The sequence below is a fragment of the Homo sapiens genome, chromosome 8 (genome assembly GCF_000001405.40).
Source record: "Homo sapiens chromosome 8, GRCh38.p14 Primary Assembly".
In the NCBI taxonomy this organism is placed as follows: Eukaryota; Metazoa; Chordata; class Mammalia; order Primates; family Hominidae; genus Homo; species Homo sapiens.
In genome coordinates this window covers 140290554-140312556 of record NC_000008.11, presented here as the reverse complement: position 1 = coordinate 140312556, position 22003 = coordinate 140290554, and the positions used below count along the sequence as shown (strand labels likewise).

The 22003-nt window shown below is 47.1% G+C and overlaps 1 protein-coding gene across 18 annotated transcripts in view, besides 7 other annotated features; it reads left to right on the top strand.

Annotated features, from left to right (window-relative positions):
* TRAPPC9 (trafficking protein particle complex subunit 9) overlaps positions 1-22003 on the top strand; it is a 730855-nt gene that overhangs the window by 146023 nt on the left and 562829 nt on the right. For all 18 annotated transcript variants that reach the window (NR_164662.1, XM_011517326.3, NM_031466.8 and 15 more), the window contains 3 exons: positions 1183-1309; positions 11943-12088; positions 21479-21564. Coding sequence is in view for 17 of the 18 variants with exons in the window: in XM_011517326.3 (XP_011515628.1) it covers positions 1183-1309; positions 11943-12088; positions 21479-21564 (359 nt within the window). In the remaining variant the exon portion in view is untranslated. The remainder of the gene's footprint in view (positions 1-1182; positions 1310-11942; positions 12089-21478; positions 21565-22003) is intronic.
* Positions 1111-1611: an enhancer, noted in NCBI's record as "H3K4me1 hESC enhancer chr8:141321045-141321545 (GRCh37/hg19 assembly coordinates)". NCBI's record gives its function as "activates a minimal SCP1, AML or CMV promoter by ChIP-STARR-seq in primed H9 embryonic stem cells {active_cell/tissue: H9 hESC(primed)}" and the evidence as "EXISTENCE:reporter gene assay evidence [ECO:0000049][PMID:30033119]".
* Positions 1612-2112: an enhancer, noted in NCBI's record as "H3K4me1 hESC enhancer chr8:141320544-141321044 (GRCh37/hg19 assembly coordinates)". NCBI's record gives its function as "activates a minimal SCP1, AML or CMV promoter by ChIP-STARR-seq in primed H9 embryonic stem cells {active_cell/tissue: H9 hESC(primed)}" and the evidence as "EXISTENCE:reporter gene assay evidence [ECO:0000049][PMID:30033119]".
* Positions 2129-3328: an enhancer, noted in NCBI's record as "P300/CBP strongly-dependent group 1 enhancer chr8:141319328-141320527 (GRCh37/hg19 assembly coordinates)". NCBI's record gives its function as "activates an origin of replication core promoter dependent on BRD2, BRD4, P300/CBP, MED14 and CDK7 cofactors, with strong dependence on P300/CBP, by STARR-seq in HCT116 cells {active_cell/tissue: HCT116}" and the evidence as "EXISTENCE:reporter gene assay evidence [ECO:0000049][PMID:35650434]".
* Positions 9333-9833: an enhancer, noted in NCBI's record as "H3K4me1 hESC enhancer chr8:141312823-141313323 (GRCh37/hg19 assembly coordinates)". NCBI's record gives its function as "activates a minimal SCP1, AML or CMV promoter by ChIP-STARR-seq in naive H9 embryonic stem cells {active_cell/tissue: H9 hESC(naive)}" and the evidence as "EXISTENCE:reporter gene assay evidence [ECO:0000049][PMID:30033119]".
* Positions 9834-10334: an enhancer, noted in NCBI's record as "H3K4me1 hESC enhancer chr8:141312322-141312822 (GRCh37/hg19 assembly coordinates)". NCBI's record gives its function as "activates a minimal SCP1, AML or CMV promoter by ChIP-STARR-seq in naive H9 embryonic stem cells {active_cell/tissue: H9 hESC(naive)}" and the evidence as "EXISTENCE:reporter gene assay evidence [ECO:0000049][PMID:30033119]".
* Positions 12503-13003: an enhancer, noted in NCBI's record as "H3K4me1 hESC enhancer chr8:141309653-141310153 (GRCh37/hg19 assembly coordinates)". NCBI's record gives its function as "activates a minimal SCP1, AML or CMV promoter by ChIP-STARR-seq in primed H9 embryonic stem cells {active_cell/tissue: H9 hESC(primed)}" and the evidence as "EXISTENCE:reporter gene assay evidence [ECO:0000049][PMID:30033119]".
* Positions 13004-13504: an enhancer, noted in NCBI's record as "H3K4me1 hESC enhancer chr8:141309152-141309652 (GRCh37/hg19 assembly coordinates)". NCBI's record gives its function as "activates a minimal SCP1, AML or CMV promoter by ChIP-STARR-seq in primed H9 embryonic stem cells {active_cell/tissue: H9 hESC(primed)}" and the evidence as "EXISTENCE:reporter gene assay evidence [ECO:0000049][PMID:30033119]".

Genomic DNA, 22003 nt, shown 5'->3' with positions numbered 1-22003 from the left:
TAATGGTTATTATCATTTCAGTTTATTCAGTGCACCGTATCTGCCATTCACTGCTTTTTTAATGTATTATCGCATTTATCCTTAGTAATTCCTGATATAGGCACTCCTCTTACTGCAGGCAAACAAGATGCAGAAAGGTTGAAGGACTTCCCCTAAGGTGGTAGCACAGTAGATAGGGAAAGACCAAGGCATCTCCTGGAGTCGGATCTAACTTCGCTGTTCTAGGTGTCATCCCTGGCGATCGTGTCCCTCTGCTGCTCTTCTCTCCAAGTCCTCTGTCTTCCCCATCAGCAGTCACTTTGGTATTTCACAGAGAAGCTAGATGCTGCAAGGAGGGACTTCCTTGTTCACACCCCTCCCATAATCCCATCCTTTCCTTAATTCTTTAAAACACTCTAGGGAGAAAACCACAGGCCTTAGGCCAAGTACATGGTCTTTGACAAGCTGCTTAATTTCCCTTGGTCTCAGGTTTTTCATCTGCAAAGTGGGGACAGGAGTGCCTGCCTTCCTGAGCCAGCCTGAGTCCTAGAGCACAGCAGGTGCTCCTGAGCTCTGTCATGCTGTGGGTGAGAAGGGGTCTGTGTCCGTGGCCTGTCTAGACTGTGCCATGGACAGGAAGCGGACATGATTATCACCTGTGTCCTCTTTTCCTCCCTCCTTGTGAAAGGGATGGGGGCAGGATGGTGAACAACAGTCTTTTCTCACAAAGCTCTATATTTGCATCAAAAATGTTGATTTGTAATTATTTGCCTAAGTGTCTGTCATACAGATAAATTACAAACTCCTGAGGGACAGACAGGTCCTGGCATTTTGCTTGGTAATTACCTAGTAATTGCTGAAAAAGTATGGTTAAGTTATAAAATATACTGATTCTCTAGTCCTGCCTACAGACTTTCTTGAAATTTGATAAGGGTTTATTTTCTTGGAAAATGGAAGTCTCCTGGAGGATACTAACTTAATTTCCCTTTTATCCACAGGCCCTTAAGAGGAGCAGTGCCGGTGATTTTCGAATAAGTGGAATATGGCTTCTGCTTTGTTCTGGTCTCTTTTGCTCACTGCCCCTTCATTTCTGTCAGAAGATTGGACTCACTGGACTGTCATGAAATGCCCCAAGTAAAATGAAAGCCAGCCACTTTGACTTTTGCCTAATACATCTTTATTTTGTTTTCATCTTCTCTTCAGAAAAGAAAGATGTGGCCCAAAGCCTAGAGAACTATACGTCCAAGTGTCCTGGGACCATGGAGCCCATCGCCCTCCCTGGCGGCCTCACCCTGCCACCGGTGCCCTTCACCAAGCTTCCCATCGTCAGGTGAGATGGGCACTGCAGAGCCGGAAAGGCAGCTGCCCTCTGGGACACCGTCCTCTAGTCTGATTGTGAATAGAGATCTTTAGAAGAGTTCCCATTTTTGTTGGCTGTGTATCGGGTTCATTATCTCATTAAACTTGAAAGCAGCCCTATGACATGGAAGTAAGTATTTTAGAGATGAGAGAGTCAGGGCCAGCGACATTCTGTAACTGCTGCAATTCCATGCCCACTAAATGGCGGAGTCACGTCTGCACCCAGCCTTGCTTTGTTCGAAAGCCTGCCTTGCGACCACTACACCGTGGTGGAAACCAGTCTGATCACATCGTCTTCTCCTTGGAAGTTTTCAGTCATTTCCCTTTCCGCAGGCCATGCACCCCAGCCACACGGGAACAGGGCAGCTCCTCGCCCACACAAGCACTTGCCAGCTCCCACCTTTGCTCTGCACTGCCTCTGCCTGGCAGGCTCTCTCCTCTCCTGGCTTCATTCTGTCTGTGCTCCCTTGTTCCTTCATGCTCATCCTCAGCCCCATTTCCAGGACACCTTTCCTGAGAGGCGAGCTCCCTGAGTTTCCATGGCACCCATTGCTCACTGCTCTCCCAGGATTTGCTGCCATGTGCCGTCCTTTCTGTGTGACTGTCACTCCTAAGAGTGTGAGATTTTAGAGTGGAGACCTTTTGGCACATGCAAAGTGGGTCCTTGCAAAAGGTTTTTGTTTTTTCTTCACCACTCAAGGCTTAGGACCTGCAAAAGGTTTATGAACTGATCTTGTGAGGTGATTTCTGAATTTCTGAAATATTTGTTTGAAGACCGGAAAGAAACAGTTGAATCTGACATTTTGCTGTCGAGTGGAAGTGCTGTCACCTTAGGATTCAGTGTGATGAAGATGCTAAGTATCTTTAAAACGCTCTTGGCTTGGCTATTGTTCCCCAGCTTCACTCGGTCTTGCCATGTACTCGCTTTGACTCACGGGCCTGCTGCATTCCATGAATGAGTCACTCAACCTCCGGGGTATCAGTTTGCTTATCTCCCCACTATGCCCCCAAAATTAAGAAGAAAACCGATAGCATTAAGCTATTATGAGAATTCAATGAAGTAACATGTAAAAGCATGTGTATGGTGCTTAAGAAATGTTAGTTTTCTTTCTCCCTGCATTCTTTGAAGGCAAGTATAGTACTGCCAAATGAAATGGTTTCTTTTTGCCAAAGAGTTGTGTGCTCCCGAGAAGTGGGGGCAGAAAGGGTCGCTGTGCATTGCAGCCCCTGGCAGGCCACACTGGAATTTTAAGGTGTTCTGAAGAGCACTGCTGAGATTGTTCATCAGGCAGAGCTGCAAGGGGCAGCATCCAAAAGGCGTGGCTGTGGCCTGAGAAGGTGCTGTGGCTGCTCCTCAGAATGTCCAGAGGGACTTGCAACACCGCTGTTTGGAGGGCCCAGGAAGGGCGTGGCTGCTCTGCAGTGCCCAGTGCTTGCTCAGCACTCAGGCAGGCTGTGGAGCAAAGGGGCCTTTGAGGCTTTTCTATGACTAAGACTTAGAGCCGAATGCATTTGACTTGGGATTAAGGGCATGATTCATTTTTTAAAGATTAAGGTCTAGAAAAGCCTTTCTTAATAATTTTATATTTACATCATGACTTGAATCATTTTTAAATTTAGAAAACCTTGCCTAGTAGAATGTTATGAAGCTTACAGAACATTCTGGGTGTTTGGTGCTGTGTGTAGATATCCAGGAGCTGAGGCTTCTTGTCCCTGAAGCTGGGGATGATCGGTCCTTGCAGGTCATTGGAACCAAGGAAGAAGCGTGCTTGTTCTCCTCACAGCCTGCCAGGCAGCCCTGGAGTTAAGCGAGAGGCCCTGGGTTCACTCTCACTTGTGTGTGGCCGTGGTAGAGAAGCAGTCTCTTTACACTTCGTTTTCTTCATCTTTAAGCCGGGCTTAAAAATTGCCCCACACAGAGTGGTTTGTTTTGTTTCAGCTGAGCAGAGGCACACAAAAGCGCAGAGCAGCATGCCTAGCGCCTAGGAAGCGCTCAGTACATCTTGGTTTTCTTCTTGGAGACATTTTTTCACCTGTGTTTTCAAACAGTACATTGAAAAGTACTGTAACATTCACATTTTAGTCCCTCGGCTGTTGAAACATTAGAAAAGGCAGATTGGGTGAAAGTGTAACAGTCTACCGTTTGGGCAAGTGCTGTTTTCCGAACCTTCTGTGCGCGTCCCTTTCCTGGGCAGTGTGTCTCTTTCTCTGTTAGGGTCCTGAGGCTCCTGTGGCAGAGCTCCCTGCGAACAGTTAGCTGAGTCTTGCCTGGCATCCTGGTGCCATTGTTCTTGCCCAGTGTGGTCATGGACTGTTTCTTTCTTTCTTTTTTTTTTTTGAGTTGTAATCTCACTCTGTTGCCCAGGCTGGAGTGCAGTGGTACGATGTTGGCTCACTGCAACCTCCACCTCCCGGGTTCAAGTGATTCTTCTGCCTCAGCCTCCTGAGTAGCTGGGACTACAGGCGCATGGCACCACGACCGGCTAATATTTGTATTTTTAGTAGAGACAGGGTTTCACCATATTGGCCAGGCTGGTCTCGAACTCCTGACCTCGTGATCCGCCCGCCTCAGCCTCCCAAAGTGTTGGGATTACAGGCGTGAGCCACTATGCCTGGCCATGGGCTGTTTTCAAAAATCTAATTTTATGTATGACCCACCATCTGCATAAACATATTCGTGATGATTTTCTGAAGACTTTAGCTAGAGAAGTAACCCCTAAGTGTCCTGGTGACTCCTTCCTCACGTGGATCGTACCTGGTCTCATTGAAAACTGGGAAGAAGAACTGCCTGAGATTCAGTGTGGTAAACCCACGGAACCTCAGTACGACCGGTCAAATGAAAGGGAAGGTCTTTGGAACATTTGGAGAGCCGGAGTATCTCGTAGCCTACTCTGCTCCCCACCGCTTAGAGAACAGACTCTAATGTACTTGCTTTGCATGGCTTGCAGGGCCTCTGTGGCCTGCCCTGTCTCCAGCTTTGATTGTGAGCGCCCTATTTCCTTGGTCCTACGCTCCTGCTTTCCCTTGTGGGAATACTTAGAGTGGGCCAAATGTGTGGCCGGTTTTGTTCCTTCGTTGAGGCTTTATCTCTGGCTTGGAATGCCTGTGCTTCCCTGCTCTGCCTGATGACACTTAGTCATCTTTCACGATTTTAGTTCAAGGATTATGTCCTCTATAAAGCCTTTTCCAGAGCCACCCAAGTAGAAATGACTATACTTTCTTTGTAAGTTAGGAATTATTTCAGCTGTAAAGAACAGAAGACCTAATAGTAGATAGTCAATAGGAAGATATTTTTCTAGTTTATTAAGAAGCCGGAAACAGGTGGCCTCTCTGTAACTCTGTCTTTACCTCAAGATTACCAGATGGCTGCTGCAGCTCCAGATAACACATCTACATCCAAGGCAGAAAGAAGGGAGACAGGGCAGGTCTAGAGATGTCTATCTTTTGCTTAATAGGGAAGCAAAAATGTTCTTGACAGATTCGAGTAGGCTTCTGCCCCAGTCTCATTAACAGGAAGTGTGTCTCATGGCCATCTCTAATTGCAAGACAGGCTGAGAAAATAAATATTTAGCTTTCCTAGAATCTGTGATATAGGTGGGGAATGGAGAATGGGGTCAGAAATTCGTGCTTGGTCAGCCAGCCAACAGTGTATGCCATATCTTTCTTCTGTAGCGCTTATGGAACTTGACTGGACATCTTTGTTGACATTTTGGGTCCTTCTCTCTTCTTTGTCTTTGTAGCCCCCAGGTGACCTTGTGTGTTGAATGAGTAAATAGTTGGATCCCTTAGAATATTTTGTAATAGCAGCTGATAGAAACCAGGCTAACTTAGGCAAAAATAATTTATGGCACATATACCTGGAAAGTTCAGGGAGGAATTCAGGTAGGGCTGGAGTCAGGGCTCAAACAACCTCATCAAAACTTGGTTTCTTTCCCTCTGAGCTCTGTCCGCTGCAGTGTTGGCTTTAGTTGCAGGCCCCAGGTGCTATCAGAGTGGCTCATCACCTCCAGGCCTCACATCCTCTTGCTACTGTGTCCAGGAAAAGAGAGCAGGTGCCTTTTAGTAACACCTGTAAAGGAACACTGCTTTCTTTCAGGGGGACAATGTCCTTTTGCTTTTCACTGCCCCTCATGGAGTTATGTACTCAGATCGGACCGAGTCCCTGCAAACCACATGGCTGCAAGGAGACCGTGTGTAGTTCCCCTAAAGCAAAACCTACGAATAGCTGGGCACAGGAGAAGAGGCAAGTGGGTGTTGGGAGGCAACAGACAAGGACACAATAGCAAATGACACCCAAGGCCCACTCATCCCACCACACTGCTTCAGATCAAAAGTCCTGGTTTCGGTTTGTGACCTGTAATGCCTATGAGTCAAGATAATGCATTGATGAATATCTGCCCTTCCCAAGTCAGAAAGCATACCTTGGAAAAGTGCAACCTTGAAGCAAGTGCACGCTTTATGAACTGCATGTTCTCTTCCTTGGACTTGTGGCACTTTCTGATGCAGAGGGCTGGTTATATGCTTCTCTTCTTACTAATAAATAGGCTCATGTTTTATATGAGACTAATTTTCACCCATAGATAAAAATGTGCACGCTTTAATGTGCTGTCCAGATTCGCTTTTCATGCCTTTCTTCTAAGTTTTTGCCATTTGAAAGTAGGGAGAATTAGGACAGATGTGATGTCCTTGCTCCATATAATTCTTCTTCTTTTTTTTTTTTTTTTTTGAGACAGAGTCTTGCTCTGATGCTGAGGCTGGAGTGCAGTGGCGCAGTCTAGGCTCACTGCAACCTCCGCCTCCCAGGTTCAAGCAATTCTACTGCCTCAGCCTCCGAGTAGCTGGGACTACAGGTGCGTGCCACCATGCCTGGCTAATTTTTGTATTTTTAGTAGAGACAGGGTTTCACTGTGTTCGCCAGGCTGGTCTCAAACCCTTGACCTCATGATCCACCCGCCTTGGCCTCCCAAAGTGCTAGGATTACAGGTATGAGCCACCACGCCTGGTCTCCATAATTCTTTAGCCTCCAGCACTTTTCTTTTTCTTGTCAAAGCAAGATCTTTTTTCCCCCAAGATATGCCATGGGCCATACTTCTAGAAAAGACTGTATGCCACTTCCTTCTCTAAGACTGTCATGATGATGTGTGAGGGATACTGATGTGTACGCATCTCTGTAGGTTTCAGAAAGGAAGGATAGTAACTAAAATGCATTGACATATTTATGCCAAGCACCAATAAACCCCCTTCATGTAAAATTGGAAAAGCCACTGGCTTTTGTTCAGTAGTCTTGTATTCCTATCCCGCATTCTGCAGTTAGCTGTGTGACTTTGAACAAATGATTTAACTTCCTCTTCTTGAACTGAGGTTGATGAGACATACCTCCCATGCATGGATCAAATGAAATGTTTGGGAAATTGTTTTATAAGCAGAAAAGCTCTTTGCAGACATGAGTTCTTATAGAGGTTTCAGGGAATTTTGCCTCTAATTAGATGTCACCTTACCATTCCCTGTCAGTTTTTACTTTTGTTTGTACATGTTAAATTAAATCAAATGAATTAGTTCCATCACTCCCTTAAGAAATGCATATATGTAGCTATTTAGTTATTTTAAAAAATTCCTGGGTCTGGCACGGTGGCTCACGCCTGTAATGTGAACACTTTGGGAGGCCGAGGCAGGGGGATTGCCTGAGCTCAGGAGTTCGAGACCAGCCTGGCCAACAGAGCGGAACCCCATCTCTTCCAAAAATACAAAAAATTAGTCGGATGTGGTAGTGCATGCCTGGAGTCCCAGCTACTTGGGTGGCCGAGGCACCAGAATTGTTTGAACCCAGGAGGCGGAGGTTGCAGTGAGCGGAGATCGCACCACTGCACTCCAACCTGGGTGACAGTGCGATACTCCCTCTCTCTCTCTCTCAAAAAAAAGAACAAGTTAAGGTAACCAGAGTGAGGGGAAAGTAACAGTGGGATAGAAAACTAACAACAAGTTCTGTTAGTACCTGGAATTCATAATGTCCTACGTAATGGCTGGAGATGGGAGAGAGCGTGATTGTGAGGTAACTGACAAGAAGGAAGCGTGATTGACTACAAGAGCCCCCCTCTCAAGAACAGGCATGTATCAGTCACACTGGGGAAATGCATCTCTTCCCAGCAGTGAGCTGGGAAACCTCTCTAGTGGATTCTCTCGAAGAGAACATTCTGATGTTTTGAGTAGCATGCTCAGCAACATCCCCATGAAGATCTAGGCAGGTGTCTGATGTTGTTTTGCTGTTAGCATTCGGTAACGCACACTGAGGGCATGGGACCGGAGCACCAGGGGATGAAGGTGGCTCTCCCAGAGGACAGGGCGGTGTGGCCTGCTGTTGACTGACTTGCGTTAGCCCCCCTGCTGCCAGCATCTAGGATAACGGGTGGGCTGCTGTGCATCACACACTCTTTCATGAATGCCATTGAGCTTTTGGCAGGAGTTGGGCAACAGAGAATCCAGAGTTATGTTCTCAGGCATCAAGAAGAGCTGGTAGGTGTCTGCCGATGCTGACTGAGGGGAGCGGGCTCGTGTTGTTAATGCTCTCAGCACCTGGTCCGTGGCAGGCCTGCAGTGAATCTGTGTGCAGTAGTTAAATGTCCACATCACATGTAGGGTTGTCCCCCTCTTCCTAAATCCTTGCTCCTCATCTCCACCTGAAGGAAGGCCTGGGCAGTAGCTATGGATTAGGCCAAGGTGCTTCCTTAGGAAACAAATCCGGGACTGTCTTCATATATCAACCAAACACTTCAACGTCCTATGCCCGGAAACATGGATTTTACCAGTTTAATTAAAAAAAAAATTGGGGCTGGGCACGGTGGTTCATACCTGTAATACTGGCACTTTGGGAGGCAGAGGTGGGCAGATCACTGGAGGTCAGGAGTTCGAGACCGGCCTGGCCAACATGGCGAAACTCCGTCTCTACGAAAAATACAAAAATTAGCCGGGCGTGGTGGCAGGTGCTTGTAGTCCCAGCTACTTGGGAGGCTGAGGCAAGAGAATCACTGGAACCCAGAAGGTGGAGGTTGCAATGAGCCAAGATCATGCCACTGCATTCCAGCCTGGGCGACAAGAGCGAGACTCTGTCTCAAAAAAAAAAAAAAAAAATTAAGTCAGGCATTGCAGGTCAGCCCCTATGACATAAGAAGAGCTCAGTAATATGTACACTTGAAGACTAAAGCTCCTGTTAGTGTTACAGGGTAAGCTGGTTGAAAAATGTCTACATTGGTGAGTAAATTATCAGACCTGCTATATAGAATCGTTAAACATAAACGAATTTACTGCTGGGTTTGGCTCATAATTATGACTTTGGTTTTAGAATAGATGGTCAGAGCCATTTTCTTTTCCCTTGAGGCCTTTCTTAGTATTTGACAATAAAACTATTTTAGCAATATACAGGAAAATACTTACTTGTTCTCTGTAGCATGGGAGCATGAACTAGGCTCACCCAAAGATGGTTTCAAGTAATTCCGATGCAAGTAATGAAAAAGGAGCCAAAATACATCCCTATTTTAATTGTGTTCCAAAATTCAATTAATAAAATATTTGTTGAGTGCCTAAGACGCGCTTTTGGCCCAAGGCTAATTGCGAAGAGATGGTAGTGGCCAAGCGTGATCTCATCTGCCAGGAGGCAGCCAAGCCCACATCCTGTTGCTGTTGACCAGAGTTAAAGCAGAGGATGGTTCTGATAGAACTATAAGTGATCTTTTTTCCTTATCTATGGAATTCTCTGCAAAAATGATACAGTGTGTACACAGTAGCCAACAGTAGTCTATCAGGCCCCTAGTAAGCGTGTAGATTATTAACACACTGTAAGTCCTGGATTATTATTAAGGAAGTGGAATAAAGTTTCAGTGCCATTTCCAGTTAACCAGTGAGTCTTTAATTTGGGGGCAGTGATGGGGAGTGGGACTCATTGAATATTTTTTTTTAAGAGCTAACATTGAGCTCCTTCAACCTGGAGAAGAGCTTAAGAGTTAATGAAGGCGTTTACGTGAACAAAGACCCAAATCCTCTAGTGAGAGTGAGCTTCGAGTTGCTTTGATACGTTTAAAACTTAAACTTTTAAGTTAATTCTACCGTTTGAGGAAGGATTCTAGGCATTTATTCAGAGAGGTGTTTAGAGGCCCAAATTCAGGGTCGTGCTTCGGACTCCCAGACACCAATCAGGATGCAGCCTCCATGACTGTGTTCATGCCACTGTCCAGGATTTTCTCCCATACATGGTCTAGCGGCCAAGCCATAACCTTCCTTAAGAATTTCTTAAACCAGAGCTGTTTGGAGCTGATAAGAAATGTATAGCAGCATTCAGGATGGGAGCGGCTGGCCCCACCTTGCTACTACAGCTGGCGCGGTTGCCCTCTCCAGCTCTCTCAGTTGCTCCGGACTCGGAGCAAGCAGCCTCCACGCCGTCATACACACGAGGCACTTGAGGCCAGTCGTAGTCCCCACCCATCTCTTCTTGGATATGTTTCCCTGTGAATAAGATTGATGAATTAAATACCAAGAAACAAAAGGTGAGTGGTTGTTGACTGTCATTCCTCTCGACCGGTTCGTCTGGCGTCGCTTTCCTGATCAGCGCTCTGCGGTGCTCTGCGCGGCCCTGACGGCTGCTGTTCCTGAGGGAAGTCAGGTTTTTACGGTGTCAGCAGTTTCCAGATGGAATCTGTCAAAATCATCCTTGTCTTGGACACTTTATCCCTGGACTTCTGCTTTGCTGTTGGCAGCTTCATAGGCTAAGTACAATTTTTATTAGTTCTGCAGCTACAGACAGATAAGGTCCTGGTGCCCCTGTCCTCAGCAGGCTCACAGCTGAGTGGAAACAGATACAGAATGAAATGGTTCTGATCCGCTATGATAAAGGCATAATGAAGGGCACACACAGAGCGAAGGGAGCTGGGGAGCACCTGCTGGGTGTGCCCTTGGTCTGGAGGGCGCGGGGTTAGCACCATCTCCTGCCGTGAGTCACTGAGGGTGGTGGGTGAGAACCACGCATGTGGCAGGCTCCCCGGGGCTGGGATGTGGGTCTGTGGTGGGGATTGTCTGCCGAGTGCTGTAGGCATGCTTTGCACAGAGCAGGCTGGAATGAGGCATCTGAGGTCCCTCCTCACTGAGAGAGGTGGTGATTTTGTGGATTCTGTAAGGCAGTTGTTATTATGCAGTATAGGTTAGGGTGCACTGTGGCAGAAAAATTAACCCTGAAATCTTCGTGATTTACTGTAACAACAGTTTCTACCTCCCTCACACAAGTTTGGTGTGGGTTGGGTGGCTCTCCAGGGCAGCTGAGCTCTGGGAGGTTGCTGAGTGCTCCAGGCCGCATCTGTCTGGTGCTCCACCTTCTCAATGTCCAGCCTCCAGGATCACCATGGCCGTGCAGCCGAAGGAGAGAGCTGGGGGCTGGCCCGTCACTCTAAAGTGTGTGTCTCACAGAGGCCTCGGTGGCTCCCACTCACAACCTACTGGCCAGAGCTCCTCAGGTGGCCTCACCTTCCTGCGGAGGCCGGGAGGCGGGGGGTGGGGAGCACGTAGATTTATCACGATCAGTGTCACTATCAGTCTTCCTGTTTTCCCACCTCTGCTCCTTGTCCTTTCTGTCTGACGTCCAGGAGTGTTCCAGATCTTAACCACCGTCTTCCCAAACTGGTCACAAGGGTGACAGCACCTTCTAGTACTGTGGTTTAAGAGCATAGTGTCACCTGTTGTTACTGCTTTCCAGCCATCGGATTTGCGACAGTATACTTAGTCCCTCTTGCGTGAGTTTCCTTATTGATGACATGGAGACAATAGTAATAGTACCCAAACTAAGAAGGTGTTTGTGATGTTTAAGTGAGAGAATACATATGCAGTGGTTAGCACAGTGCCTGCTCATGCTCAGACTCCATGGATTGGTAAATTTATCTTAATGCTAGCTGGATGAATTCGAGCATGAGTACAGATTGGCAGACATCCACAGCTGGGATACTGTGGGAAGCGATGACAGATACAGATGCTGCTGCATGCGAGTAGAGCAGAGGGTGCTGTTGACCTTCTCATGGGTGCCATCTCTTCCCATGGGTCAGAGTCTGGCTGCCACTTGCTGTGGGCAGGTCCCTTGGGAAAGGGAGAGGCAGAGAGAGAAGAGCCATCCTGGGCCAGGCAGTGGGCCCTGTGCCAGGAGTCTTTAGCTGGATCCTCCCCATGGGTCCATGGGGAAGGTGGTGGCCCCACCTGCACTTTATACACAAGGAACCTACGTCTTAGAGATGGCAAGGCACGTGCCCAAAGGCACACAGCTGGTAAGTGTGAAGCGAGATTTCAAGCTGGCCTTTCTGACTCCAGACCATCCTTGGGCCCAGTTCAGGAGTCCCCAGAGGGAAGTGGCTGCTCCCCCAGTTCCAGGGAGTGATTTCCCCTGTCTGGGAGAATCTTGAGTTACTGTTGCAACACTTCCTTGCTGTGTCCTGATGCCTCGGAGTGCTTTTCCTCCCTCCATTTATCTTCCTTCTGACTGATTTACTGTTTTTCTGATACATCATGTTTGGTTATGTTTATCCTGAAACCACGCTAACCAGACAGTTGAAGTATTTGTGTTCTGTTTGAAACAACAGGCATGTGAAACTATTGAACCTTCCTGCTAGCCTCCGGCCACACAAAATGAAAAGCTTGCTGGGTCAGAACGTGTCAACCAAAAGTCCTTTCATCTATTCACCAATTATCGCACACAACCGTGGAGAAGAGCGGAACAAGAAAATAGGTAGGACGTCGATCCTGGCTTTCCCACCGTGCTCTGCCACCTGATTTCCAATGGCTTTTCTAGATTTTTAGAACAGCATTTTGAGCCAGTTCATGCATGTGCATGTGTGTGCGTGCGTGGATGTGTGCACGCATGCATATGTGTGTATATGTGTGTGCATGTGTGCATGCATGCATATGTATGTGTGCATGCGTGCATATGTGCGTGTATGTGTGTATGCATGCGTGCGTGCATGCATATGTGTGTTTACATGTGTCCATGTGTGGATGTGTGCACAGATGTGTGCGTGTGTGTGCGTGTGTGCAGTCTGTCATGGAAGTTTATTTGATTTGCTGCTTTTGGCAGGCAATTGCCCATAGATGTGATTTTAAAAAATTTATTTCATATAAGGTAATTTTGTGAAAGTTCTGGAAACCAGAAAGACTTTTGTTAACTGAGACTTATGTGAACTACAGAAGAGTGACAGTTGGAGATGTAGACTGATTTTACAAGGGCTGAAGTGACTTCTGAGTCATCAGAGAAAGATTCAGGGTTGGATGGTGTTCAGGACTGAGTGGAGGGTGAGGTAATCGTGTTATGTTCTTTTGTGAACACAGGTGATCAGGATAGTCAGTCCTGGGTTAAGCTGTGTTGTGGGAGAGACTGGGAGTGGACAATCTCTCCTGAGCTTTCCTGTGTCTGAGCTCTCGTCCCTCCTGCACCAGGGCTCAGCATGCACCACCGGCCCTGTCCCTTGGTGTCCTTCCCAAAGCCCGGCTGTAGTGCCAAGCTCCCCATCCCTTGCTGCCACAAAGACATGCCCGAGGCCCCTTGCAGGAGATTGTGACTGCCAGTCACTGGGGACCACTGCCGGCTGAGCCCACACGTCCTGTGACAGAACCTTGAGGGCCTGGAGGCTGGCCGCTGCTTGGCGACTGCCGGGGCCTCCGAGGAGTGTGAGCGGGAGGCCTGCGCAACCGCGGCGCTCTGTGTTTGATATCCAGTGCTTTCTTCTCCTTCTGTTTCTTTATTTCTACTCTTAATTCCTGTACCTCCAATTTAGGAAGAAGGCATTCCGGCTCCTTTTTCCACCATGCTTTTCTTTCCAGGACAGAGGCTTCCTGTTGCACTCGCAAGCTCACCCACACCCCGAGTTACGGACTGCAGGCGCTCCCTGACCCCCCCCTGCCCACACCCCTCCCGCTCTGTCGGGGTTTTCATGCCACCTCCTGCCACCATCACTCTGGTTTAGCTACAGGGACTCCTTTCTGGTCGTGGAAAGAAACAGGCTTGTTCCAAGCCCAGGGCTTTGGGGCTCGCTCTTTCCTTTGCCAGGAACTCGTCCCCTGCCCCTCTATCATTGGCTCTCTTGTTGTCACATCCTTTTGGTCTCTGTTCAAATGCCCCCTCCCTCAGAGGGGTGTTCTCTGATCCCAGCGCCTTGCAGGCCACTCCTCCCACCATCTCTAGCGGTGCTGTCTGGGATTCTCTTCCCAGCTTCTCTCCAGCTCAAACCCACACTGGCCCATTGATGCTTTGTCCTGCAATATCACCTGAAGCCCAGAATTCTGTCAGGCTGTGTGCAGCTGCTGTCTCCCCAGCACCTGGAGCAGTGACAAAAGAATGAATGAATGGATGGGGTACATATTATGAATCCCATTTTATAGATTTTGTTGACGGGGAAACTGATTCACGACGTTTAAGTGTCATGTCCAAGAACTCACAGGAGAACCTAGATCTCACTGTACATTTCATGTTCCTGGCAGGGCATGGTGGAATTCAAGGCAGAAGGGACAATAAGAGCATTACGTGTAGCACATCATCTTTTTTTTTTCTTTGAGACAGGGTCTAGCTCTGTCACCCAGGCTGAAGTGCAGTGGTATAATTAGGACTCACTGCTGCCTCAACCTCCTGGGCTCAGTTGATCCTCCTGCCTCAGCCTCCCGAGTGGGTGGGACCACAGGTGCATACTACCACACCCACTGATTTTTGTATTTTTTGTAGAGACGGAGTTTTGCCATGTTGCCCAGGCTGGTCTCGAATTCTTGGGGTCAAGTGAATCCCCTGCCTCGGCCTCCTAGAGAGCTGGGGTTACAGGTGGGGACCTCTGCGTCCAGCCAGCACATTGTCTTGATGAGCATTTCTCATATATTACTAGCTCTAGGATTTCTTAGCTTCTGTAAGGGTCTCATAATAAACTTCATTAACAATTTGTAAATTATCCGAATGCCTTAAAAAATAAAGTGCTTCAGAGGAAATAAAGTTGTTTGCTGAGATAAAGGGCATAACTAGGGTAGGAGTACTCAAAGAACCTTGTGCTTTTAAAAATGGTAATCATTTCTTTTATTCTAGTTGTGCTTTATAAGAGGCTATCATATGTTACCTTATTTAGTTTTTCCAGTATTTTTGGGAGATTTCATTTTTATCTCCCTTTTACAGATGAGGAAACAAACTTAGAGAAACGACTTTTAGAAGTAACTAAAAGTTACTCAGTTAGTGACAAGCTTGATTTCACATCACAGACCACGTGTCCTGTTCCCATTAGTACCCTATGGTTTCCTCTCACGTGCACAGTAGGTGTGGGACAGACCTATTACCTGGACCTCACAGTCCTCACCCTCGGCTGGTTTTTCAGTTTAGTTCATGCAGGCAAGACACAAACGTGAGAAGTTGACTATCGAGACTAAATGTGAATAAACGCTCTCTAAAACTGTACATCTGTCAGCAGGGGTACCTGGTTACTTACACGTTGAACTCGAATGAACAATAAACACTGGGCTAACTGGGAGTGGGGTGTGGGGTGGGGGCCCCGCAGACCCTGGGGAAGCCCTCTGGAGGCTCAGACACAGCCTCCATCTGAGGAGCCGTGTGGGCTTTGCAAGGAGTGGCTCCAGCTGTTCTAGCTGTTCACTGTTAGAATGAGAAGAAAATAAAGAGACATGGGGTCATGCCCTTGAAAAACTGCAGTCAATACTGTATTTTGGAAAATTTCTGAAAATGTGAGCACTAACTATATAATCTACTCTAGAATTTGTGTGTATCTGTATGTGTGTATGTGTGTGTATGCGTGTGTATATGTGTATGCATCTGTATGTGTGTATGCATGTGTATATTGTGTGTATGCGTGTATGTGTGTGTGTCTATGCATGTGTGTGTATGAGTGTGTGCATGCATGTGTGTGTGTGTATGCGTTTTTAAAATGCCATTTTTAGTCTATTGATTCTGAAAGACACCCCAATCTTGTCTCTCCTGCCACTGCTTCTCTGATCTGGAGAACATGAGGTGACAGGAAGTGTAGGCGCTGGGTAGACGTGGTGGATGAACAGGCAGGGCCTGATGGCAGCCCCAGATGTGCTCCAGCGTGTGTTGCGGTAAGCAGGAGAGAGCTGTACAAATCCTGTCCTCACTGTGTTTTGGGGACGTCGTTTCCTGGCCTCCTGTGGGAACTCCACCTTTCCTCTCTGGAGGGCGTCTTCCGAGCTCCGTGGGGATGGGCAGGCCACCCTCAGGGCTCCTCTGTCTCCCCTGGCCCCGGACTTGCTGTCCTACGAGTGCTCAGGCTCTTCCCCCTGGGACCTTCTAGAGTCTCTGGCTGCTCTTTTGTGTTCTCATTGGGGTTGGTGATGAACTGTCTCCCCTACGGAACTTTTGAGGAAAGCTTCAGTTCTTTCGTTGAGAAAAACTTCCAGAGGTGATTTAGGAGACTGGAGGTGTGAGACTCCTCTTCTCAGGATGGGCCATGTGATTTGTGGGGCCCAGTGCAAAATGCAAACATAGGGCCTTTGTTCAAACATCACTAGGAATTCGAAGACAGCAACAGCAGAGCGTGAACCCAGATGCCAGGGCACAGGGCCCTGTGCCACTGATGGCATGGATTGTAGGCCCTGCCTCTCTGCTTTTCCTTTTCAATCTTAAGAAATTGTTGGCCGAGTGTGGTGGCCCACGCCTGTAATCCCAGCACTTTGGGAGGCTGAGGCTGGTGGATTGCTTGAGCCCAGGAGTTCGAGACCAGCCTGGCCAACATGGCAAAACCCCATCTCTACACAAAATACAAAAAAATAGCCAGGCCTGGTGGCGGGCACCTGTGGTCCCAGCTAGTTGGGAGGCTGAGGTGGGAGAATCACCTGAGCCTGGGAGGTCGAGGCTATAGTGAGCCAAGATTGTACCACTGCACTCCAGCCTGGGTGACAGAGCAAGACCCTACCTCAAAAAACAAATAAAAAGACATTGTCAAAGATTCCTTTTGTGAAAATTACAATCTGTATTTGTTGAAGAGGGCTTAAGCAAACATTATCCAGTGATTCTCAAAACTATTTGATGCTGATGCTGCCGGCATTATTATATTCCCTATTTGCAAATAAGAAAATTAAGACTGAACGAAATTTAAGTACCTGCCCCAGGTCAGATAGCTTATCAGTGACATTCCCCGGGCTCCATGCCAGGTTGCAGGACTCGATGCCCAGGGCCTTTTTTCTTTATAGTATGGCTTCTCACCATAGTAAGAAGTACCTGCTCATCTGGGCTGAGGACAAATTCAGTGGATGATGTAAGATTTTTTTCTGAGATATAACGCAAGTTTCAGCCAAAATGCACATTATTTGTTTGGTAGGAAAATGCAATTTATATCCCATAGCTTCTAATATCTTTTTGGCAGTGTACTGATCAGTGAGTGCTTGTGCAGAAGCTTGACAGATCACATAACTTTAACCTAAATTTCCAGTCTCTCTAAATGAACCTCGGTGTATAATTGGGGGAGGTATCATCACAGCAGGTGGCATAGGGTTTTGGAGATGAAGAAACTCTTGAGGGTAGTGTTTGAGACCATTTTCCACTTTAACTTGGGATAGTTCACGAGTCTTTGTGTGTTGGCTGGTGTGGCCATCATCTGAGCTACATCCATGCAAAGATGACTGCAACACTGGCCTCAGCTTGAGTGTGTTGGGTTGAAGGCCTTCTGTCATTTGTGATAGGTCTTTGTGGTGCTGCCAGGCTTAGTGCCAAGGTCGACTGCTGCCCCAGAGGCAGCGTGGTGGCCTGGAGAGGCTGTGGCTGTCAGGTGGACTTGGGCTGCACCCTGGCCCTGCAGCTCCCCACTGTGTGACCGTGGACAGCTGATTGTGCCTCTGTGGTCTGCAGTCATGCTATCTGCAGAATGGGGACATTAGAAGCTGACACGGAGGGTGGTTTTGAGGATCAAGGGAGATAATGTTTCTAAAGTCCCTGGCAGCCATTCAGTAACATTTTTGGTAGCAGTTATATGCCCTGTGCTATGTGCTGGGGATGCATTGATAAATCAGGAGTCTTTCCCGCCACATGGGTCCATACAGTTTAGCAGAAAGAGACGAACTTGTCAATAAACGCCACTGCCTGGTGCCGTGGGTCCACAGATGACAGCATGCACAGTGTGTCCCGCAACAGGGAGGGCAGGGCCTGAGATGAGGGGGTTTCAGAGAGGCTAATTCTTGTGCCTTCCCACTACTTCTAGGACAAAATAGTGAGGAAGGGCCACCACCGTGTGCTTTGACATGCTGAGGATGGAAAGGGGTTATCTCCTTCTTTCAGCAAAAATCACTTTTCAGGCTGGGTGTGGTGGCTCACGCCTGTAATTCTAGTACTCTGGGAGGCCAAGGTGGGGGGGATTAGTTGAGGTCAGGAGTTCGAGACTAGCCTGGCCAACATGGTGAATCCCTGTCTCTACTAAAAATACAAACAAATTTAGCCGGGCATGGTGGCGCACACCTGTAGTCCCAGCTACTTGGGAGGCTGAGGCAGGAGACTCGTTTGAACCCGGGAAGTGGAAGTTGCAGTGAGCCGAGATCACACCACTGCACTCCAACCTGGGTACAGAGTGATACTCCATCTCAAAAAAAGAAAAAAAAAAAGAAGAATAAATTTTTATGTAATCAACAGTTTATTTTAGATTTACCCTTTAGTAGACATGGACCATCTAAGTGTACATTATTTTTTTAGTACTCTAGAAAATGATTTTTCAAATGGCTTATTATCATCATCATCATCATCATGACCATGATAGGGCAAGCCATTTCTTAATTACCAGACGTTAGCCACTTGTTTAAAGAGAGTGACCTTCTTCATTTGTGGTGAGGAGTGGTCTGGGATGCTGACCATCAGTGGCCCCGGGCAGGCTGGGTGAGGCGGGGTCAGGCGGGCTGGGAGCATGTTGTGCTCTGGCCACTGACTTGTGTAAATGAGGAGGTCGGGTGAGCTCCCTCCCATTGAAGGTCCTCAGAAGCTGGTGGGCCTGGGAGGTGGGGGGCATGGAAGCTGGGATGAGGGAAGGACAAGACCTGAGTTTCTGGGGTCCTGAGAGGTGAAGCAGTAGGGTGAAAAGAGTGTAGGTTTTGGAGACAGACTGGAGTTCGAATCTCAGTTTTCTTGCTTCTCAGGACCATAGGACAGGCAGGCGGGCCAGCCTGTCAGGTGGGTTCTCCTTTTTTGTAGAACGGGCATAACATTTGTGCTGCTGACATAGACTGTGGCCATTCACTGCATTGTGCAGAGGCTCAGATGAGTACATGGTGGTGCAGGCATTAGGGGAGCTGTTAGCTCACCTGGTGGGCACTGTATTAATTAATTAATTAATTAATTTTAAATTTTATTATTATTATACTTTAAGTTTTAGGGTACATGTGCACAATGTGCAGGTTAGTTACATATGTATACATGTGCCATGCTGGTGCGCTGCACCCATTAACTTGTCATTTAGCATTAGGTATATCTCCTAATGCTATCCCTCCCCCGTCTCCCCACCCCACAATAGTCCCCAGAGTGTGATGTTCCCCTTCCTGTGTCCATGTGTTCTCATTGTTCAATTCCCACCTATGAGTGAGAATATGCAGTGTTTGGTTTTTTGTTTTTGCGATAGTTTACTGAGAATGATGATTTCCAATTTCATCCATGTCCCTACAAAGGACATGAACTCATCCTTTTTTATGGCTGCATAGTATTCCATGGTGTATATGTGCCACATGGCCTTAATCCAGTCTATCATTGTTGGACATTTGGGTTGGTTCCAAGTCTTTGCTATTGTGAATAGTGCTGCAATAAACATACGTGTGCATGTGTCTTTATAGCAGCATGATTTATAGTCCTTTGGGTATATACCCAGTAATGGGATGGCTGGGTCAAATGGTATTTCTGGTTCTAGATCCCTGAGGAATCGCCACACTGACTTCCACAATGGTTGAACTAGTTTACAGTCCCACCAAAAGTGTAAAAGTGTTCCTATTTCTCCACATCCTCTCCAGCACCTGTTGTTTCCTGACTTTTTAATGATCGCCATTCTAACTGGTGTGAGATGGTATCTCATTGTGGTTTTGATTTGCATTTCTCTGATGGCCAGTGATGGTGAGCATTTTTTCATGTGTTTTTTGGCTGCATAAATGTCTTCTTTTCAGAAGTGTCTGTTGATTCCTTTGCCCACTTTTTGATGGGGTTGTTTGTTTTTTTCTTGTAAATTTGTTTGAGTTCATTGTAGATTCTGGATATTAGCCCTTTGTCAGATGAGTAGGTTGCGAAAATTTTCTCCCATTTTGTAGGTTGCCTGTTCACTCTGATGGTAGTTTCTTTTGCTGTGCAGAAGCTCTTTAGTTTAATTAGATCCCATTTGTCAATTTTGTCTTTTGTTGCCATTGCTTTTGGTGTTTTAGACATGAAGTCCTTGCCCATGCCTATGTCCTGAATGGTATTGCCTAGGTTTTCTTCTAGGGTTTTTATGGTTTTAGGTCTAACGTTTAAGTCTTTAATCCATCTTGAATTAATTTTTGTATAAGGTGTAAGGAAGGGATCCAGTTTCAGCTTTCTACATATGGCTAGCCAGTTTTCCCAGCACCATTTATTAAATAGGGAATTTATGCAATGTCAACATGCCAGCTCTGGGTCAGATGTCATAGGTGTGGTGGAGTCAGTCCTCATCTCTGTGCAGGTTGCAGAGTGTGTGGGAAAAGCTGTATCTTGAGAACATGCTTATGAAAGCTCTGAAAGTTGAATAATTCTGGTCAACAGACGTTCTTATCTGCTAGAGAAGAAGCCCTCCACTGCCCTGTTAGCCACCCGTGTCTGCTCGGGGTGCCTCTGAGTTCAGAGGCCTGAATCCAGCAGCTCCTCTCGCTTGCTGTGTGGTTCCTGGGCCAATTTATTACCCTGTTTGGACCTTGAGTGTTTGCCTTGCAGTGACGGGGGTTATCATACCTATCTCAGGAGGTCCTTATGCAGAGTAATGAGATAACCTGTGTGGAAGTGCCTCACACCTAACACATGCCTGCCACCTGTTGATTGATTCTGAAATTCCTTCTGGTTTGCCTAAGAGAGGATTGTAAAGGGAGGAGGGGGTGATGGAAATTGGGACAGATGCTGAATTAGCTTTCTGTTGCTTTGTAACAAATGACCACAGACTCAGTGGCTTCAAACAACACAAATCTGCTTCCTCATGATTTGTGTGGGCTTCAGCTGGGTCCTCTGCTCAGGGATTCACAGGACTGAAATCCAAGTGGCATCTGGGGCTGTGTCCTCATCTGGAGGCTCAACTAAGGGAAGGGCCTGCTCTCACGACTCCTCAGGCCGTTCTTCATTCATTTCCTGTGATCCCCGTTCTCTTGCCAGCTGTCTGCCGGTGCTGCTTTCAGCTCCCAGAGGCTGCTCTTAGGCCCTTGCCATGTGGTCCCCTCCACAGGCCCTCTAGGCAAGGATATGGTCTCCTGTGCGGTCTCACCTGATTAGAACAAGCCCATTCAGGACAACCTTCCTTTTGATTAACTCAGAGTCAACGGATTGGGGTCCTCAATCACATCTGCAAAAACTTTCCACCTTTGTTTTACAATATAGCCTAATCATCATATTCACACTGAAGGTGGGGATTACATAGTGCATGCACACCAGGTTGTGCACACCAAGGCTGGGGGTTTTGGAGGTCGTCAGAATTCTGCCCCTGCACAGGTACTGAACTGCAGTTGACCTGGGAGTGGGTGGGGAGGAGAAGACTCCCCTCTCACAATCTTAGGGGAATAGGGCAAATCACACTCCGTGTTACTCACAAGTGACCCCAGTGCCGTCTTCCTGTGTTGCCAGCTTCTGGGCCCCGTGAAGCGCAGTGTGCCTTATGGCTCTGTACCAAGAACAGTGCCATCTGGACTGATGCCAGCATGAATGCAGCCCGCCGAAGGCAGTGACAAGCGCCATTCATGTGGCATCAAAGTGCCAGTGACAGCTACCTTGCTTTGTTTCAGAGAAAGCTGGTGGAAAAAGCAGCTTTGAATCACCCATCTCAAGAAGATCATAGAGCCTGCTGCCTCACTGAGAATGTAAATTGCCAGAGGAATAATTGGAAACCATGTAGAAAGTGAAAAAATACCAACTAATACATGGATTCATTTATGTGTGTGTATTTTCTAGATTTCCAGTGGGTTCAAGGAGATGTGTGTGAAGTTCAGCTGATGGTATATAACCCAATGCCGTTTGAACTTCGAGTTGAAAACATGGTATGTATCACCAATCATTTGACCTTTTTGGGCTAACATACAAACTTCTCATTAAAGTAGGTTTTACTTAATGTCTGAGGCACACATCTTACGATATGTGTCTGTTTTTATGTTTGTTTTGCCAAAGCATATAAGCTTATTGTAAATGAAGACCATGTTTTGTTATTCCTGTGTCTTTAGGCTTGGTTTTCAATAAATATTTGAACCTACAAAGAAACCTCTGATTTGAACACATGCCGAGCTTAGTTGATTGGGTATAAGATGTGAAATAATAATTTCGAAGCTTACGTGAGATGTGTTGAGGTTGCAAAGTCCCCATTCTGCCTGCTACTCAACGGTATCAGCATTATTTTATTGCTGCAAGATGATAAGATGACCAAGGCCCCAGGGAAGAACAAGCTGTGGAATGGGAGGATAAATGACCACACCACCACCACCA